The sequence below is a fragment of the Homo sapiens genome, chromosome 20 (genome assembly GCF_000001405.40).
Source record: "Homo sapiens chromosome 20, GRCh38.p14 Primary Assembly".
Classification (NCBI taxonomy): domain Eukaryota; kingdom Metazoa; phylum Chordata; class Mammalia; order Primates; family Hominidae; genus Homo; species Homo sapiens.
Genome location: NC_000020.11, coordinates 30342785 through 30363661, shown reverse-complemented (window position 1 = coordinate 30363661; position 20877 = coordinate 30342785). Strand labels below are relative to the sequence as shown.

Sequence of the window (20877 nt, the reverse complement as noted above, 5' to 3'; positions counted from 1 at the left end):
GAAATAGGGCCACTGCAGTAGGAAGACCAGATAATGGGAGAATGGTAATATAATCTACCACAATGACCACAGTGAAAACATTAGTAATCCTCAGGATTAAACCAAGTCTTTTTGGACATTTAGGTTGATTCTAGGCTATTGTCAATAGTGGAATAACAAAAAATAAAGAGAATAGCCCATTTATTTTTTTCAGAGAAGCTAGACAATTCACAGGAACTCATGGCCTAGACAATTTTATTTCTTGATCAACACAACTCTTTATAGATGCCTGTGGTCTAAAAATGCGGATTCCTAATCGTCCCCCAAAAGAAGGGATCCTCTGCAAGGCAACCTGGGAGGGAATTTAGGACTGTTCTGAGGCAGTGAAACCCATTGAGATTCACATGTAAGAGAGTAGAGAAAGGGAATCCACATGTTTTGATCCCTCCATGTGCTGGATATAAGTTGGTCTTCATTACATTGCACCACTTTGGTGTCAGAGAGAACTGGATTTGAATCCCAGTTCCATCACTCATTGTGATTTGATGGTGAATGCGTTTATAACTCGTCTGCGCCTCAGTTTGCTCATCTATAAAAGATGGGATTGTTATGAGACTTGCATAAGGTAAGTGTTTAAAAATCTGGGAATAATCCCTGTAATTTAAAAGACGGGGTTGTGATGAGGCTTCAATAAGGTAAGTGTGTAAAAATCTGGACACAATGTTACTAATTTTGTAGGTTTTCAATATATAGAGAAGGAGGATTATTTTTCTCTCATTTAATTTTTAGAACAAGTTTATAAAATTGGTATTATTCATATTTTTGAGATAATCAAAGGATCAGTAGGTTTAAATAAATCACCATAGTCACAAAGCAGTTCACAATATATTAACTGGATAATTGCTAGTGAAAAGTAGCAATGATGATCACATTGAAAATCTTGTGTTAGGTGGTGGTTTTCTCTTGCATAAGCCTCTTCATTTGTTGAAACCATAGATTCTAAGTTTGCTCTATCAAAGTGATCATTAGAAAAATATAATATACTTAGTGTATAAATTTTAGAAAATTTCCTTTTTAGTCCTGTTAATTTTATTGAATATGTACATTTTGAATTATGAATATAAATATGAATATGTATGACATATGAAATATGACTTGACATCACAGAGTAAACTTAGATCGTGGCAATGTTTTTTTCTGAAAGCACCTGCAGAAATGTATCTTCTTTCTAGTTTCCAAAAAACTCAGAGGCCATGGGGGAAGAGGGGACTATGGCTGTCAGATAGTGCATGAGGTACATTAGGATACAGTAATTTCATCATAATTCATATTCATAATTCACAGTGAGGAAACCTGAAAGTTGCTACCAGCTACCAATAAATGAAAGGTGGGGCGGGGTCTCTGGGGGGCACGGCTTTGTGAGCCAGTGCCTGGACTCCCACGTGACAAATGGAAGGGCAGCGCGTGGAGGGAACTCAAGGCCTGATTGGTTCTTCCTAAGCAGGACACGATCTCGTTGGCAGGGCAACCGGCCTTTAGTTGGTGGCCTTCAGTGGGTGGCTTAAGTTGGTGGCATTTGGTTGCCTTTCCTGGGGAGAGGCGGCAGGTGCTCAGCTCTGCAGACGTGGGGGCAAGAGAAGGCCCAAGCTGCCTCGAGAAGAGCAGAGGTGCCCCATGGGGACCATGATGACCGGTCGCATGTGCCAAAGCCAGCCCCCGGCAGGGCCAGCGCAGGGTTTCTGCGGGGCCGTCCTGTGGCTCTGATATCTATGAGTGGGTGGCCAGCAAAGGCACAGGCACCAGCAGAAAGGAGCAGAGATGCCCAGAACATGCTGTCCCCCAATGCCAGCCCCAAGCGAGGCCAGCTTAGGGTGCGGTGGGCAGAGCCATCCTGCAGCTCTGAGATCCACGAAGTGGAGGTGGGAGTAGCGCCAGGCTCCACGGCGTTGGAGCTCTCACAACTTGAGCTCAATTTTATTCCGGAGCCATGACCTGCAGCACATTGGTGACCAGAAGACGCCCAAAGGTAGGGAGGCGACAGATACCTCTTGGCTTCAGGAGCTCCTCTGGCTGTTGCTGAACCAAGTTTCCCCCAGAGACATCCACAGCCTGGGGCTCCTCCCTTCTTCACCTATTTCCTTTCCTAGGCCCAGGCCCCAAGCATGAGGACTGGCTCTGCCTGGCGTCTTCATCACTTCGTCTTTCCCTGTTTCATCCATCCGGTTTCTTTTCCCCTCCCTACCCATATGCCCAGTTCTGGGCCCTCTTCTTCTTCCTAGAGGCTTGCCAAAAACTAAGTTTTTAAAGTACAAAATGGATGCTACAGATTTCGTTGCTGTAGAAGAAGTGTCTGACAGCTCTTGTATTTAAACTTAAGTAGCTACACTGGGACTCACAGTTTCACATCTTGAGTTCTAGACCAGAGCTCTCTACCCTAAAGCAACGGCAAGGGGTTAGAGGTACTCTTCTTGATTCTAATAATAAAAAATGATTTTTTTTTTGTAGGGACAAGGTCTCACTGTGTTGCCCAAGCTGGTCTTAAACCCCTGGCCTCAAGTGATTCACCAACCTTGGCCTCCCACACTGCTGGGATGACAGGCAAGAGCCACCACACCTGGTCATTGGAGGTGCTCTTGCTTTGTGTGTTTCGGCTGGTCTTCAGGCGCAGCTGTCAGTAAGATGCTCCTGCAGTATAGTTCTAAGTCTCTCTGCACAGATTCAGTGGATCCTGTGATTTTTTTACATGGAATAGCCCCTTTATTTTTTGCAGAGAAGGTAGACAATTCACAGTAACCTATGGCCTAGAAAATTTTATTTCTTGATCAACACAACTCTTTATAGATGCTTGTGGTCCAAAAATGCAGATTCCTAATCATCCCCACGAATAAGCGGGCCATTGCAAGCAACCTGGGAGGGAGTTTAGGATTGCTCTGAGGCAGTGAAAGCTATTGAAATTCCCACATGAGGGGGCAGAAAAGGGAATCCACATGTTTTGATCCCTCCATGTTCTGGGTGTAACTTGGTTCCCGTTAAATTGCACAATTTTTGGCATCAGAGAGAACCAGATTTGAATCCCAGTTGCATCCCTTGTTATGATTTGATGGTGAATGTGTTTTTAACTCGTCTGAGCCTCAGTTTGCTGATCTATAAAAGATGTGATTGTTACGAGGCTTCCATAAAGTACATGTAAAAATCATGGCAAAATGCTTGTAATTTAAAAGAGAGGGCTGTTAGGAGACTTCTATCAGGTAAGTATGTAAAAACCTGGACACAATGCCTATAATTTTGTAAGTGTTCAATATATGGAGAAGGAGGATTATTTTTCTTTCATTTAATTTTTAGAGCAACTTTATAAAATTGGTGATACTCATATATTTGAGATAATCAAACCAAGGATCAGAAAGACTAAATAAATCACCATAGTCACAAAGCAATTCACAATACTTTTACTGGATAATTTCTAGTTAAAAGTAGCAATGATGATCACCTTGAAAATCCTGTATTATCTGGAGGTTTTCTTTTACATAAGCTTCTTGGAATTTAGTAAGATAAGTTGCAGCTCAAACAGCAGATCCGTAGAATATTTTGTTCCAGAGATTGTAGTGGGGGCCAAAGCATTGTATGAGTTTTGTTGGGAACAAGGTGTGGGCTGAGAATCTAAGCAAACTTCATTTGGTGGTTTTCAGTTGGTGGGCAGTGACAGAAGGAGGAGGAGCTCCATCTGTACTCTCTTTTCCCCCAGTCACAGCCCTCAGGCTTGTTGCATCCAGGCCCTTCTAAGTTAAACCAGACAGGTTGACAGGTTTATTTAGCATTTAGCAGACAAGTCAGCTCAGGGTAGGCGGGTGAGTTGGGGTGTGGGCTGCTAGTACAGTGTCGCCCTTTGACCCAGGGCTGCCCGTGCCCATGGGGCTATTCCATATATCATATATTTTATATATATATATATATAATATTTTCATATATATGTATATAAGCCTGTTGGTTTGTTAAAACCATGGATTCTAAGTTGCTCTATCAACGTGATCATTAGAAAAATGTGATGTACTTAGTGTGTACCTATTTTAGAACATTTCTTCTGTTAGTCTTGTTAATACTCAATTCTTTTCTAAAACACCTAGCCCAAATCTCCATAGGTTTTAATCGAATTATATTATAATTTGGATTTTCCGGTCTGCCTATCTTCCAAATAATAAAGTTCTTAAAATTAATTATCTATTTCTGCCATAACAATTTACCACAACTTTGTGGCTTAAATCAAAGTCTTATGACCCTATAGTTCTGTAGGGCAAACCTCTGACTGTGGTCTTACTGGGCTTAAGTCAAGGTGTTGTCAGGGCTGTATTGCTTTCTGGAGGCTCTAGAGAGAATCCATTTCCTTTTCAAACTTTTAGATGCTGTCCCTATTCTTTGGATCATGGGACCATCACTCCATCTTCAAAGCCAGTAATGTGGGATGTCTGTGACCATGGTTCTGTAGTCATATCACATTCTGACTGTAGCTAGGAAAGATTCTCTGATTTTATAGACGCAGGTAATTAGATTGGCCCCCAAGATAATCAAGGATAATCCCCCTAACTCAAGGGTTAATCACATCTCCAAAGTCCCTTTTGCCCCATGTAAAGTAATATGGTCACAGATTCCACGGACAAGAACATCTTTATGGGGTCATTATTTTGACTGTCACAAAGGCAAAGTCTTGGACTTATGCATATCTAGGTTTTCTTTGCTTAATTTCTGAGCCTAGAACACATTAGACTCTAAATAAATGTGAATGAGTGATAAATATTATATTTACAGATTGCTGCCACATTACAATTCTGTCCTGCCACTGGTGGTGGAATCCTATGTACTTTTTACCATCTCCATTTTGCATTCAGACTGAACATGGCTATGTTATTCCTTTCACCTGGGTGATTTGAAACCATCTCTCTATTTCTATTTGTAGAGATCTTATCTATCAAGCCCTTCTCAAATGCCACTTCAAAAAACTTTTTCTAATCACCAATTGTCTTAGTCAATTTATGCTCTTACAACAAAATAACACAGACTAGGCAATTTATGAAAAGCGGACGTTTATCTGTCATAGTTCTGGAGACTAGGAAGTCCAAGATCAAGGCGTTGGCAGGTCTGATGTCTGGTAAGGGCTGTTCTCTCCGTTCAAGATGGTGTCTTGATGCTGCATCTTCCAGAGACAAGGAACACTGTGTCCTCACATGGTGGAAGGCAGGAGAGCAAGAGGGATGAACTCCCTCCATGGAGCCCTTTCATGAGGGCTCCTAAACCCATTCCTGAGGTAGGAGTCCTGATGGCCTCATCACTTCCTGTAGGCACCACCTCAACACTATCAAATTATCAACGCTGAATCTCGGAGGAGGCACAGTGAAACCACAGCACCAATCAAGTATGATCTTTCTGTCCTCAGAAACCCCCTCATATGTTTAGACCTCCCATGCACTTTTATACATTTTGTCTCATGGTTTCTTCCTGTACAAATAAGGTGCTGTAAATGGATAGCTATAGTTTTGGGTTTCATTTCAACAAAACCCCCTTCCTAGTTTTTTGAACCCCAAGCAAAATATGAGGACAGGCCCCACCTTCCATTACAAAAGCTGAAAGGGAGTGCATGATCCTTTTTCCAGTTTCTTGGCCACCCACGTGTGGGCACATATCTAGGCCCAGCCAACTGATGTCTCTTTATTAGAACTTGGAACCCGATGAAATGATGCAAAAGACCTGAAAGAATCAGAGATGATTCTGAGAAATTGAGCAGAGATGCACGTCCAGGAATGTGGCAGCAAGTGCCTAGGTTCAGCAGAGCCCAGCTACAGGGTGACAAGTGTCAAATGACAACATCCTAGTGGTGGCATCCCAAGATCTCCTTCCGTCGAATGAACTTGGCTGTGCTGAGTTTCCCTCAGTTCTTACCTTGCTTCTTCAGCATCTTCAATGATTTTGTGAACTATTCAATATCCTTTCATTGAATTCCTGTTTTGCTTAAGTTGTCTAGAATTTATTTTTAGTGAAAAATATAAACCAATTATGCCCTTACATTAAAACACACTCCACTGAGGCATCTCCTGTGATCTCATTGGAGAAAAGTGTGGACGTTATTTGTAATTTGACTCAGAATGATAGGATTAGTTTGGTACTAGTAACAACGGAGATAAGTAACTAACTTTTTGTGAAACTTCTTCCTGGGGTGAAACAAAATCTATTGTGGAAACTCTTTCCAATCATCTCTGGAAATTTATTAAGTGACCTAGTATATAATGATAATTTACCATGATATTTGATAATATAGTTTTGTGTGTTCAGAATAATTTCTTTTTTCTTTACCTTTGAAAATAATGCATTGATACTTATTTTTCTCCTAAATTGTCTGTTTTTATTTCCATAAAAGGTATTTATTGAATGTCTCCTTACTTTTAATATAACTAGGCATTGTGTGATCAAAGCAAAATAAATATGTTCTTGTTTCTGGAATTACTAAAGCTTTGAAAATGGACTTATCGACCTCAAACCAATGGGACATATTCCTACATGGCCTTCTCCCCTGTTAGGGTTCCCAGGGTAAGTGGTGATTCCTTTTCTGTCTTTTTAAAGATTTTAGAAATGCAGCTTCTTCTGTGGGCCACTAGGTGGAGTACTTCAGAGCAGGGTTTGTGGGAGTACAAAGCTAACTTCTGCTGCTTTTGCTTGATGCTTCTGCAGCTCCCTTGACTACTGTGGATGATAAGTAACCATTTTCTTCCTCTTCTTTCTTTTTTCCCCTCACTCTTTGGAGTGAACTTGAAACATTTAGGAAGTTTGTTCATCAACGTATACCGTGTTTATGAAAATCTGGCTAAGATAATATGGTAGGACTCCTTTGGTTATAAATAATAGAATTCAAACTCAAACTGGTCTAAGCCAAAAAATATATATTAATTTGTGGACTCGTATAATGGAAAAATCCAGGGTATAGCTTCAGAATGGCTGAACGCAGGGACTCAGGACTTGGCTCCTCTCCTCTTCCTTGCTTTTTCCTTCCCCATTGATTTTATTCTCAGACAAGTTTTCCCTTTGTGCTGCAATGTGGCCATCATCACTCCTCCAGTTTACATTTCCTTAGTTCCATAGCCCCAGAATAAAGCAAAAACAGAAACACTTCTAATAGTTTCAATAAGAGACTAGAGATTGACTTTGGGTGTGAGGCTTGGATTTCATGTCCATCTCTAGTTTCATCTGTGCCAGGATTAGAAGTCTATTCATTGGCCAGGCCTGTGTCACGAGCTCATACAGGGTTTCCACTGTCCACACAGTGCTTTGCAAGTATTAGAAAATGGCTCCCCTTTCTCCAGTTAGATGCAACCTTGTATCGGTGCATGTGGCTTGGAGAAGAACATGCAGGCTGGATTTCAACCCCCCTTTCTCCCTTAGCTGGGTTTCTTCCTTGAGTGAACAACATACTTGTTAGTAGCTGTCCTGTGCTTATTCCTGAAACTGGGGGTGAAATCAGCCCCCACGCGAAAACTGAAGGACAGAAGGTGGCTTCATCTAGGGTATCAGATAATGGCTAATAACAAAGGGAGGGGACAGTGGGTGCTGTGTAGGCAAAAGGAGCAAAAAATAATCCTAACCTGTCTAGACTTCATCTCAGAAACCATATGCAACCTTCTTCAATGGAAATATTTAACACTTCAGGAGTGCCAAGAAGGCTATAAGGAGCATATCTCTTAAGGACCTAAGTTAGGGCATTCTAGAATGTATGCTTTATGGATTTACCTTATAAATATATAACATTGACTAATACACACAGAAAATATATTGCAGAGTAACATAGATGACAGAACTTGAAATACATGACATTCTACCACAGTCTATCATTATTTTCCAACTTATCAAAAGACTCAGAGGATCTTTTTTTTTGTATTGATAAATTTCTAGCCAGAGCCCTATTTACTCGTGTCTTGAACAACAGAGTATTTGCAAATATATCTGAAGAAGGAAGAGAAAGAAAATGATTCCAAAAAAGCTGATAACATTAAGACAGCTTTTTATAGAAGATGTAAATTTGCAACCACAAATTAAAAACTTATAGGAGATACACAAAATGTGAAGAAAAATAAATGAAACCAAACCACTACAAGAAATAACCAAACTAAGAAGACAGCAAGAGAGGAAAAAAAAAAAAAGAACTGCAAAACATATGAAAAACAATTAACAAAATGCAAGTTACTCCTTACCTATCAACAATGACTTTAAATGTGAAAGGATTAAACTATCTAATTAAAAGACATAGAGTGGCACAATGCATAAAAGATACTCATCAGTACATATTTATAAGGGAGTCAATTTAGATATAAAGATATATAGAGGCTCAAAGTGAAGGGATGGGAAAAGATACTCTATGCAAATGGTAACCAAAAAAGAGCAAGGGTATCTATATTTAGATCAGAAAAAATAGACTTGAAATCAAAAACTGCCACTAGAGACTAAGAAGGTCATTATATAATGATAAAAGTTCACTTCAATGGGAAGATTGTAAATATATATCCACCCAACATTAGAACACCTAAATATACAAAGTTAATATCAACAAAGATAAGGGGAGAAATCAGTAACACTAAAATAATAGTAGGCAACTACAGTACCCCAAATTCAATAATGGATAGAACATCTAGGCAGGAATAAAAAAAAAGAGGAAACAGCTGACTTGAACAACACAGTAGATTAAACACTGACATATACAGAACTTTCCATCCAACAGCAGCAGAATATATATTCTTCTCAAGTGAACACAGAATATTCTCTGAGATAGATCAAATCTTAGGTCACAAGGCATCCTACAAATTTAAGAAGTTTGATATAATGCCAAGTATCTTCTCAGACCACAATGGAATAAAATTAGAATTCAATAACAAAGAAAACAGAAACATTTACAAAAATGCAGAAACTAAACAACACACTCTTGAACAACCATTGGGTAAAAGAAGAAATCAAAAGGGAATTTTAAAAATATCTTGAGACAAACAAAAATGAACATACAACTCAACAAAACTTACAGGATGCAGCAAAAGAAGTGCTAAGAGGGAAATGTTACAGTGATAAATACCTACATTAAAAAATAAGAAAGATCTCACTCGAACAACCTAACTTTGCAAATAAACAATTAGAAAAAGAAAAACTAACTAAACCCAAAGTTAGCATAATGAAGTAAATAATAAAGATTAGAATATAAATAAAATAACTATAAAATAAAAAACAATAGAAAAATCAAGAAAACTAGAGTTGAATTTTTGGAAATACAAACAAAAATAACAAACCCTTAGCTACACTAAGAAAAAAAGAGAAACTCAAGTAAATATAATCAGAAATGAAAATGGAGACATCATAACAAATGTGCAGGAATACAAATGATTATAAAGGACAATTAAGCAATTATATGACAATAAATTGGATAACCTAGAAGAAATGGATAAATTCTTAGAAAGATGCAATCTACCAAGGTGGAACAAAAAAGAAATAGAACAGACCAAAAGCAAGCAAAGAGATTTAATCAGTAATCAAAAATTTCCCAACAAAGAAAAGCCCAGGTGCAGACGCTTTCATGGGCAACTTCTACCAAACATTCAAAAAGAACTAACACCAAAACTTCTTAAACTCTTCAGAAAAAATAGAAGAGAGAATACTCTCAAACTCATTTCATGAGGCCGATGTTACCATGACTTAAAAGCTAGACGAAGACAACACAATAAAAAATAATTACAGACCAGTATCCTTAATGAATATAGATGCAAAAATTCTCAATAAAATACAAACTAGCAAACTGAATTCAAAAGCACATTGAAAAGGTCATACACCATGACCAATTGGAATTTATGTATGGGATACAAGGATGTTTCAATGTGTAAAAATTAATAATGTGATATACCACATTAACAGAACAAAAGATAAAAATAACATTCCAATAGATGCAGAAAACACATTTGACAAAATTCAATATACTTTCATGATAAAACTCTCAACAAAATAAGTATACAAGAAACTTACCTCAACACTATAAAGGCTGTATATGAAAAACCTATATCTAATATTATAATCAATGGGGAAAAACTGAAAGCTTTTTCTTTACTATCTGGAACAAGACAAGGATGTCTACTCTCATCACTCCTATTCAACATAGTACTGGAAGTCCTAGCCAGAGCAATCAGGCAAGAGAAAAAAAAGGCATCAAAATTGAAAGGAAGGATATAGTTACCTCTGTTAACAGAAGACAGGATTATTATACATTAAAACTCTAAAGACTCCACAGAAAATGGTTAGAAATAATACAGTCAGTCTTTCATATCTGCTGGGGATTTGTTTCAGGACCCCCTCAGATAACAAAATCTGTGATGATCAACTCCCTCATATAAAATTGTGTACAGTTGACCCTATGTATCCATGGGTCCACATCTGTGGATTCAAAACACCACAGATGGAAAATATGTACAAGTTAGGTTCATGGTTGATTGAGTTAATGGTTGCAGAACCCATTGATATGAAGGACTGACTATATAATAAATATACTAAAGTTGTAGGATACACAATTGACATACAAAAATCATTGCTATTTCTAAACACTAACAATGAATTGTCTGAAAGGGAAATTTAAAAAACAGTGTCAAATAAACTACTTTGGAACTAACTGACCAAAGAAGTGAAAGACTTAAACAGTACAAATTATAAAAGATTGATGACAGAAATTTAAACCAAAGTAAATTGAAAGACAACCCATGGATTGAAAGAGTTAGTACTGTATTATTAAAGTGTCCATATTACTCAAAGCAATCTACACATTTAATGTAATCCATATCAAAATCCCAATGGTACTCTCACAGAAATAGAAAAAAATGATCCTAAAATTCATATAGAATCACAAAAATCCCTGAGTGGCTGAAGCTATTTTGAGCAAGAACAGAGCTACAGGTATCACAGTTCCTGATTTCAAATTAAATTACAAAGCTGTAGAAAGAAAAACACTGTGGTACTGGCATAAAAACAGACACATAAACCAGTGAAACAAAATAGAGAACCTAGGCATAACCCACACATTTGCAACCATTGATCACCCTGGAAGGTGACAAGGAGACACTATAGGCAGAGGATATGCTCTTGACCAAATGGTGTTAGGAAAGCTGGATGTCTACATGTAACAGAATGAAATCGGATCCCTAGCTCACGCCTTATGTAAAAATTAACTCAAAGTGGATCAAACGTTTAAATGTAATCACTGAAACCACAAAACTCCTGGAAGAAGACAGGAGAAAACATTCTTGACATTGGTCTTGGCAATAATTTGTTTAGATATGATTCCAAAAGCACAGGCAACAAAGGCAAAATAGATAAATGAATTACATCGAACTAAAAAGCTTCTGCACAGCAAGGAAAACAACTAGTGAAATGATAAGGCCACCTATGAAATGGGGAAAATGTTTGTAAACCATATCTCTTATAAGGAGTTCAAAAAATAAGAAGGACACACACACATCAATTCCAAAATTATAAATAACCTAATTTTATTTTAAGGCAAAGAACCTAAATAAATACATCTCCAAAGAAGAAATTCAAATGGCTAACAGGTATAAGAAAATGTGCTCAACATCTCTAAACTTCAGAGTAATGCAAATCAAAACCACAATGAGATATCATGTCACACCTGTTAAAATGGCTATTATCAAAAAGAGAAGAGATAAGTGTTGGTAAGAATGTGGAGAAAAGGAAACCATTAAACACTATTGATGGGAATGCAAATTAGTAAAACACAGAAAACAGTATCGAGGTTCCTCCAAAAAAAATGGAAAATAGCACTGGCCTGGTGTGATGGCTCACACCTGTAATCCCAGGATTTGGGGAAGCCAAGGCAGGAGGCCAGGAGCTCCAGACCAGCCTAGGTAACATAGCAAGACCCCATCTCAGAAAAAAAATTAAAATTAGCCCGATATGGTGTTGTACACCTGTAGTCCCAGCTACTCAGGAGGCTGAGGTAGGAGGATCGCTTGAGCCCAGGAGTTCAAGGCTGCAATGAGCTATGATATTGCCACTGGACTTTACCCTGGATGACAGAGTGGGAACGATTTCAAAAATAAAAAAAAAGAACTACCACATAATCCAACAATTTCACTTTTGGATATATGTCCAGTGAAATTGACATAAGAGTCTTAGAGAGGTGTCTGTCATCCCGTTCATTGCAGCATGACACACAATGACCAAAATATGAAAATAACCTAAATGTCCTTTGGCAGAGGAACAGATGAATGGGTAAAGAAAATGTGATGTGTATACATAAAATGAAATATTATACAACCTTAAAAAAGAAGGAAATCCTTCTATTTGTGAAAACATGGATGGAGCTGGAAGATATTGCGCCAAGCAAAAATGCAAGACACAGAGACAACTACTTCATGATCTTACTTACATGTGGAATCTACAACAGTCAAATTCTTAAAAACGGAGACTAGGACAGTGGTTGCCAGGAGCTCAGGGAGGGGAAATGGGGTGATGTTAATTAAATTGTGCAATGTTCAAGTTATAATAATTTCTGGAGATATAATGCACAACATGGAACTACACTGTATCATATTCTTGTGTTCTGCTAAAGGACTAGATCATAAATTAATTACTGTCAACACACACACAATGGTAAATATGTAGAGATAATATGCTAATTTGCTTGATCATGGTGATCCTTTCAAAAAGTATAGAAATATCAAAACATTAAGTTACCTTAAATTTATACAATTTGTATATGTCATGTTATTATGATAAAGCTGTTAAGAAAGATTTAGTAAATCATGTCTACAACCTGGGAACTTTCTCATGACAGGGAGGGCTGCAGTAGGAAAATGGAATTTTGCAACAAGGATAGGGTGAGGGACATGGGAAATGGTTGATCAAGTATTTAAGAAATGACCTGGGTGGAAGCTACATCAAAGGGTATGAGCTTTAGCGCATCAGTCCGTAAACTTTTTGGTTTCAGGAACACTTAACATTTTTAAGAGTTATTGAGGACCCCAAAGAGCTTTTATTTATTTGGATTATGTCTATCTATATTTATCATATTAAACATTAAAACTGAGAAATTAAAAAAATAATATACTTATATGTTTACGTAAATCACATTTTTACTTAAAATTATCATTTTTAAGCAGTAAAGTTGGTGAGAACAGTGACATTGTTTTATATTTTTAGGTATGTCTTTAATGTCTGGTTTAATAGAAGAAGACTTGGTTCTCCTTTCTGCTTCTATGTTTAATTTCTTGTGACATCCCACGTCAGGTAGCTGGGAAACTCCAATTATACTTGTGAGAGAATGAAAGTGGAAAAGGTAAACAAAACCTGTGTATTTTTATGAAAAGACTTTTGCCCTTGCAGAGCCCCTGGAAGGGACTCAGGGACTTCTCAGGGTTCTCTGGCTCATGTGTTCATAGAGTAGAGGGTAAGTCCGCAAGAGAAAGCAGTGATTGGCTGTGGGAGGTCTTGCTGAGAGGTGGTAGAAAAGAGGTTGGATGTGGAGAAAGTATGGTCCTTGTTTTCATTTCTTTTCCCTTTCCTTTGGCCTCTTGTTGCTGGGATTTCCTCTTTAGATGACCGTATCATAAATTAGAAACAGCATTAATGAACATTCTTGATACTGCCTAATGAAAGTTTTTGTTTTGTCTTCCTGAGTCTTGATACATTTCAAGAAGTCTTCTATCTCATTTATTTTTCCCACCCAAATTTGGAATTTAGGAAGAGTCGATATAGCTATATTTAGATGATTTATCTCCCTGAAGACATTTTGGGATCATTTATAAATCTCTATAAATAATGCTCTGATGTCCCTGTATTTTGTTTAGAGACTGGGTCTTGCCGTGTTGTCTGGAGTGGAGTGGCTCGAGCGTAGCTCACAATACACAATACAATCAAACTCCTGGGCTCAAAGTGATCCTTCCACTCAGCCTCCACAGTAGCTAGGTCTGCAGGTGTGTGCCAGCACGCCTAGCTTTTGATTACTATTATCATTTTTGTAGAAATGGGGGTTTCATTATGCTGCCCAGGCTGGTTTTCCGACTCTTGGCCTCAAGTGATCCTCCTGCCTTCCGTCATCTGAGGAGCTGAGATTACAGGTGTAAGCCACCATGCTGGTCCTGATGTCATTTAAATACAAACATGATACTATATTCCTTGTAGAAAGTGCTACATAAATATAATTTTTTTGAAATAGGGTCTTGCTGTGTCACCCAGGCTGGAATGCAGTGGTATGATCACACTCACTGCAGCCTGGACCTACTGGGCTTAAGCAATCCTCCCACCTCAGCCTTCCAAGTAGCTGGCTCCTGAGTTATGAGCCACTAAGCCCAGAGAATTTTTCAATTTTTGGTAAAGATCGGCGTGTCACTGTGTTGTCCAGGCTGGTCTTGAACTCTTAGGCTCAAGTTACCCTCCGCCCAGGTGTCCCAAAGTGCTGGGATTACAGGCCTGAACCACTGCACCGGGTCCTAAAAATTCATTCACTTTCTTTTTTTGTCCACAAGGTACTGCTGTTTCCCTTCTAATAACATGAGACCGCTCACTTGAGAACATCAAGAACACGACATTCTCTAAAATAAATCACAGTAGTTCCTTTCCCATAACTATTAAGTTTTCAAGGTGTTATCAGGTTTATTTCATAGAAAGAATGTGTAAAATTTTTCATGTAGAAACATAATCTTTTAGCAATGAGTTAGTTAAAAAATTGGCATTGTCAGAATGAAGATTTCCTTTTCCCTATAATTTTATTTATTATAATTATATTTTTAATGATATGAATTGCTTTATAAAAACTCATTACATTATATACCCAATGACTGTGAAATCGTCTGCTTTGAAGCACAGTAAAATCATCAATCAGCATAGTGGGTCTAACACAGTTCCTTCCATTTTAAGAAAGCTATTTACACTCCAATTTGCAAGTTGGACTTTACAAAAATTAAAACATTTATAAAATATACTAACTATGATTGTTTTAAAAAGTAATGTTTTTTTATGGTAAGGAAATAAATTGAAGCTTTGTGTTGGAAAATGCAGAAAACAAATCGGCATTCTTTATAAATAGATCTTACTGCTGGTTTAGAAATTACCTTATGTGCTTTATAGATGATGGAAAATGAAATCAGCTGCAGTTAGCAGTGTGCATGCATCGTATTTGCTTTGTCACTTTCAGAAAGGTTATGGAATATTGGCAGGTCAGGATTCTCAAAATGATAAGTTCTAAGAAAAGGCTAAATGAAAAAGAATTTTAAAAGCAAGCCTAGTTGTTTAATATATACATGGACGAGTTATGGGGAAATCCTGGACTGGGAGCTAGCAGATCTATGTTCTGACTTTTACTAAGTCATTGGCTGCTACAGCAGGCCAAGCAGACATAACTGCCAAGGCTGCCTGGGAGTTGGGTTGATTGGCAATTGGCACAGGGAGAGAGGACAATTGCCAGAGTAATGGCCAAATATTCAGGTTTCATGTTCAGTGAAGCAGGACGTGCATTTGTATCCCAAGGGCAAAACTGACGCTAGAATCTGGGCCTCCTGGCTGAATCTGAGTCCACAGTCTGATGAGTAGGATGAAGTAGTCTCAGAAATCCAAGCCAGCCAGAACCCATGAGGTGTGCTCTGCAGATATTGGCTGGTGAGCTGCATTAAGATGTTTCATTCCATTGAGCAAACATTCTTTGGTTGGTTAGGTTAGCATCCCACAAGAGCAGAGACAAATTCTTCAGAATTTGTCCATGAAGCTATAGTCCCAGAGCTTATATTTCAAGGGAGGAGGGAAGAAACAGCATCTCAGGATGGTAGGTGATTACAGCTAAACTGAATTCTGAAAATAAAAGGAGCCCTATGTCTTTGTCTGCTCAGGCTGCTGCTACAAACAACTGTAGACTGAGTGGCTTAAACAGCATATACTTGTTTCTCACAGTTGTGGGAATTCAATGATTAAAATCTGGACCAGCAGAGCCAGTGTCTGGTGAAGGCCCTCTTACTGGTTTGCAGGTGTTCTTGTTGTATCTTCACATGGCTGAGAGAAGAGGGCTCTAGTCTTCTGCTCTTCTTATTAGGATGCTAACCCCATTGTGGGAACTCCAACCTCATCAAAATCAAATTACATCCCAAAGTGCAGTGCACAGCATCTAATCTAATCAAATCAGTTGTCCCTTGAATAAAATTCTAGCTCCTATAACAAGACTTCAAATTATGACTTGGTTGTTGCCAAAACTGTCTATCTGGATTTGCTAGAAATCAAATATACTTGAATATTTCCTCTAAAGATTTTCTCATTCCTACCCTATTGTTTATATTTACAGAATTCTTAAATAATTACATATACAAGGCTTCTATTAGCTCTGACAAGAGCTTCTATTAGCTTTGACTATCGCAAGCAGCTTTATAGCACTGTAGGTAAAAGCATGTGCTTTGAAATCATACAATAAATTTATTAAATGCTAAGCACTTTATATTCACTATTTAATTTTATCATCTTAATCACCTTCATTATTAACTCCATTAAACCCTATTTGTTGGCTACTTATATTATTCTGATTTTGCAAATCTAAATTTGAGAGGCTTTCCCTATGTCACATAAGTTAATAAGTGGCATAGCTGGGATTTGAATTAAAGTCTACCTGATTCCAAGATCTATTTACCATTGTTCTACAATATGTACTTTTTAGGTCCCTGAGGATGCTAACAGCCTTTCTTTTGAAATCTGCCTTCTTTCTGGATAGCAGCTTTATTAATATGTGATTAGGGCACCATATTTCAGGCAACAAATTCTTCGAAATCTTTCATTTCCATAGTGAGATAAGGATCAGTTCTGTGGCATTGTCAGCCAGAAAACATCATTTGGAGACAATCTTGTACAAGAAGTAGAAGATACAGCTGGGGGCCTGCGGAGGACAGAAAGCTCACAGCTTCTGTCCATACCCCTTTCACTTCCTCCTCAAGGAGATGGACCTCTGTGGTTGGTCAAGCTTAAGGATCTTTTATGGGCCACAGATAATGGTGAAATCTTCCTAACTCTAGGTGAAGATTAATGGGCAAGTTGGAGAGTTAAGGTAGCTTGTGGCTGCTCCTTTTAGAAGAAAGTCTGATCATTGCTCTCTTATTTGTGGAACCCTTCTGTTCCCCCAAATGCTTGATAAGACATGCCTGAGGACCAATCCTGTGTCAGTAGACTTCATATCTACTCTCTTCTACCAATCACACAACTACAGACAAATAAGAAAAATAAAACAAAGCTCAGACACACTCCCCTGGCATGGAGGCCACTCTCTGGCTGGCTGCTTTTCTCTACCCTGGCACCTCCTGGGCATTTGGCTCTTTCTTAGATCAAAGCGAGACATGGGTTTGGGATTAAAGAGAAGTAGGTGAAAGGGGTCTCTGGCCTGTTTTGGCATTAGACCATGTAAATAACAGAGTTCTGGCTTAAGCTCAGCTCTGTAGAGCTTTCTCTGTGTTTGGGGAAAATCTCCGATAGTAATGAAGTGATATTTTACTGTGCTTCGTTTTCTGTACATATATCTCTTTCTTAGGTATGTTGTGAGGAGATTCGTTCCCTGGACGAATATATTTCTCAAATAATAAGACTTGAAAGTCAAAATGATGCCTCAATCCATGGACTACAGAATAGATGTTGTGTTGGCAGGCATGAAACCAGCATGTGTTTCCCTGTACATCTCCATTAGAACTCTTTAGTCACCAGGTACATTGTCAAAAAGCTGAAGTATTTGAAGTGAATCTTTTTTTCTGAGCTGTAGGTCTCAACAGTGAGATTAAAATACTCAGTAACCCATGCAGTAAACAGCTCTGATATCATCCAAGTGTTGTTGTTCCATTTATAGAGCAGGGGTAGTGTAGATTTAGCATAATTCTTAAGAGGTGCCCTAGGATTTATGGAATAACAAATGAGCATTGGCTTGTAACAAGACAGTCAGCCTGTCCTTTAAATCTTTTTCTTTTTCTTGCTATAAGGTCTCACTCCATTACCCAGGCTGCATTGCAGTGGCATGATCTTGGCCCACTCCATACTTGACCTCCTTGGCCCCACAATCCTCCCACCTCAGCCTCCTGAGTAGCTGGGACTAGTAGCATGCACCACCATACATGGCTTATTTTTATTTATTTATTTATTTATTTTAGAGACAGGGTTTCACCATGTTGCCCAGGCTGGTCTGAAGCTCCTAAGCTCAAGCCATTCCCCCACTTCAGCCTCACAGAATGCTGGGATTGCTGGCGTGATCCACTCTGTCTGGCCTCTAAATTCGTGTTATGGAGACTCATTTTCATGGTTAAAATGTCCTGAATTGACTGTGGCCTGTTGGGAGGTGGGATGGAGGAAACTACTTATGGAAAATGAAGAAGAAAGGAAGCACACCAGAAGCAAGAAAGTGTCATCAATTTTTACATCATGGACTCCATGATAAAAAGAAAGTACAGGTGGCTTGTTATCAAGGCTGACCATTGGACTGTGGACTGCACCTACATCTACCAGGTTCTTCTGCATAGTCCCAGTTTTAAATTTTTGACCTGATATTCATGAACACAGTGCTACTGGTCAGACCTTTGTCCAGGTTTAAGCTTCAGAACATAATGTCTTCATGCAGTGGGAGGCCTGGTTAGGGTTATGACTCTGCCCTGGGGCATCTGCCCCTTCTGACCTGAAGGTAAACTTGGCATCTACTACTTACCTCTACACTTGAACAGCCAAGGATGGGCTGAGCACAGAGGCTCACATCTGTAACTCCAGCACTTTGGGAGGCCAAGGCAGGAGGATTGCTTAAGGCCAGCAGTTCAAGACCAGCCTGTGCAATATAGTGAAACCTCATCTCTGTAAAAACTAAAAAAACCGAGGATGGTGGGTGACAGGGAGCAGTTCAACATGGGAAACTGAGAGCTGGAAGGACCCTTAGACCAGCCCCCCATTAACAGATGAGACTCTACCCTGAGATTATAGCCTAAGGTAATGCATTGAGCTTTTCTAGAGATTTGAAAATAATCAATCCTAAAACCCCCAAGCATACTGCTAATGTTTGCTATTGAATAATGTTTTCTAGTCTGGGTGTGGTGGCTCCTGCCTGTAATCCCAACACTTTGGGAGGTTGAGGCAAGTGGATCACCTGAGGTCAGGAGTTCGAGACCAGCCTGGCCAACATGGTGAATCCCCGTCTCTACAAAAATACTAAACATTAGCAGGCCATCGTGGTGTGCGCTGGTAATCCCAGCTGCTTGGGAGGCTAAGGCAGGAGAATCCTTTGAACCTGGGAGGTAGAGGTTGCAGTGAGCCAAGATCACACCATCGCACTCCAGTCTGGGCTACAAGAGTCAAATTCCATCTCAAAACTAATAATGATAGTAATAATGTTTTCTACAAGCAAGGAGTTACTTTGTACTGTGAACTGGTGTGAAGGGATCCCCCATGTGTAAGCTTTTGGATTGATGACAGTTATTTCTAGATCACAGAGGTGGGAATGCTTGTTGATCATCTTCTGTGTTCTTTGTTATATTGATTGATTTTTTAAAATTAGCATTTTTATAACAATAAAGTCATAAAAATAAGTAACTAAAATAAAGTAATCTAAAAAGGCCGAGCATGGTGGCTCATGCCCAAAATCCCAGCAGTTTGGGAGGCCGAGGTGGGTGGATCCCCTGAGGTCAGGAGTTCAAGACCAGCCTAGCCAACATGGTGAAACCCCATCTCTACTGAAAATACAAAAATTAACCAGGTGTGGTGGCAGACACCTGTAATCCCAGCTACTCGGGAAGTTGAAGCAGGAGAATCGCTTGAACCCAGGAGAAGGTGCTTGCAGTGAGCTGAGATTTTGCCATTGCACTTCAGTCTGGGTGACAAGAGCTAAACTCCATCTCAAAACAAAACAAAACAAAAATTTAATGTAATCGAGTTGAATATTTAAACTTTTAATTGACATTTCAAATTAGATTCTAATTCCACTTAAAAGAGCATCTCATAGAAGCAAATGTACTCAATTATATTAACTCTGTGGTTTCATTTAAGCAATTTGTTTTGTGAAGGGACACAAAGCCAACCAGATTTTAACAGTGTATAAATATGTATTTATTAATTTAATTACAATGACAATACTCTCAACTCCCCATTTGAATATAGGAGAGAATCTGATCTGTGTTCTGGGACAGCATGCACTATAGGTGTGTGGAAATACTGATGCCCTCAGCTGTGTGGCAGGCTCAGTGGGACCTGGAGTGCAGGAGCCCCTGGGCCATTCACCTCTGGCCACAAAAGTCATTGTCCATTTACCCCCAACTGCTATAGAAATACTATTTTCAGTGGTTGTTATGATGCAAAAGAAAAGAAGAAGGGAGATTTATTAAATTTTTACATGTAAGATATGTTAGTAAAGAAAGTCTACTTTCTTCTGGCTTAACTAAAAATCTATACTAGTATTTATGCCTTTTGGAAATTAGAGATGTCAATTTAAATATTATGAAGCAAAGCAACTGAGTATTAGGTAAGACAGCCAAATACAACTGCAGAATTGTAGAGGTTTTGTGTTACATGTATAAGAATATTTCATAGCAATAATCTTTTAAGACTCTGAAGACACTCCACAGTGAAGCAGAAATTAGAACAGAATTAATAATACTGTGTATGCTCTCAGTTCACCAATTTATCAAAACTAGCTTTATGATTCAGGAGGGTGTCTGCTCTTTTGCAATTGGAAGAAAAGAAAGAATATTTTATTTTTTGACTCTTTAGATTTTCTTCACTAACAGTATTTCCAAGGCTAAGTAAGGGGGTTGCAAGTAACACCAAGAGAAAAAAGCAGTCTTGAGCAACTTTTTAAAAATGGTCTTAAAATATGGAAAATGAAGCCAGGTGTGGTGG

General features: G+C 38.6%; 1 long non-coding RNA gene across 4 annotated transcripts in view; it reads left to right on the top strand.

The window, feature by feature from the left end:
* The first annotated feature begins 1686 nt into the window (after window positions 1-1686).
* Window positions 1687-20877, top strand: part of FAM242A (family with sequence similarity 242 member A) — a 38665-nt gene continuing 19474 nt past the window's right edge. For 2 of the 4 annotated variants that reach the window (NR_187586.1, NR_187588.1), the window contains exons 1-3: window positions 1687-2005; window positions 6475-6552; window positions 13195-13330. This is a non-coding gene — a long non-coding RNA (family with sequence similarity 242 member A). Of the gene's footprint in view, window positions 2006-6420; window positions 6553-13194; window positions 13331-20877 lie in introns of all 4 variants that reach the window. The other 2 variants (NR_187589.1, NR_187587.1) reach the window with 2 other exon arrangements.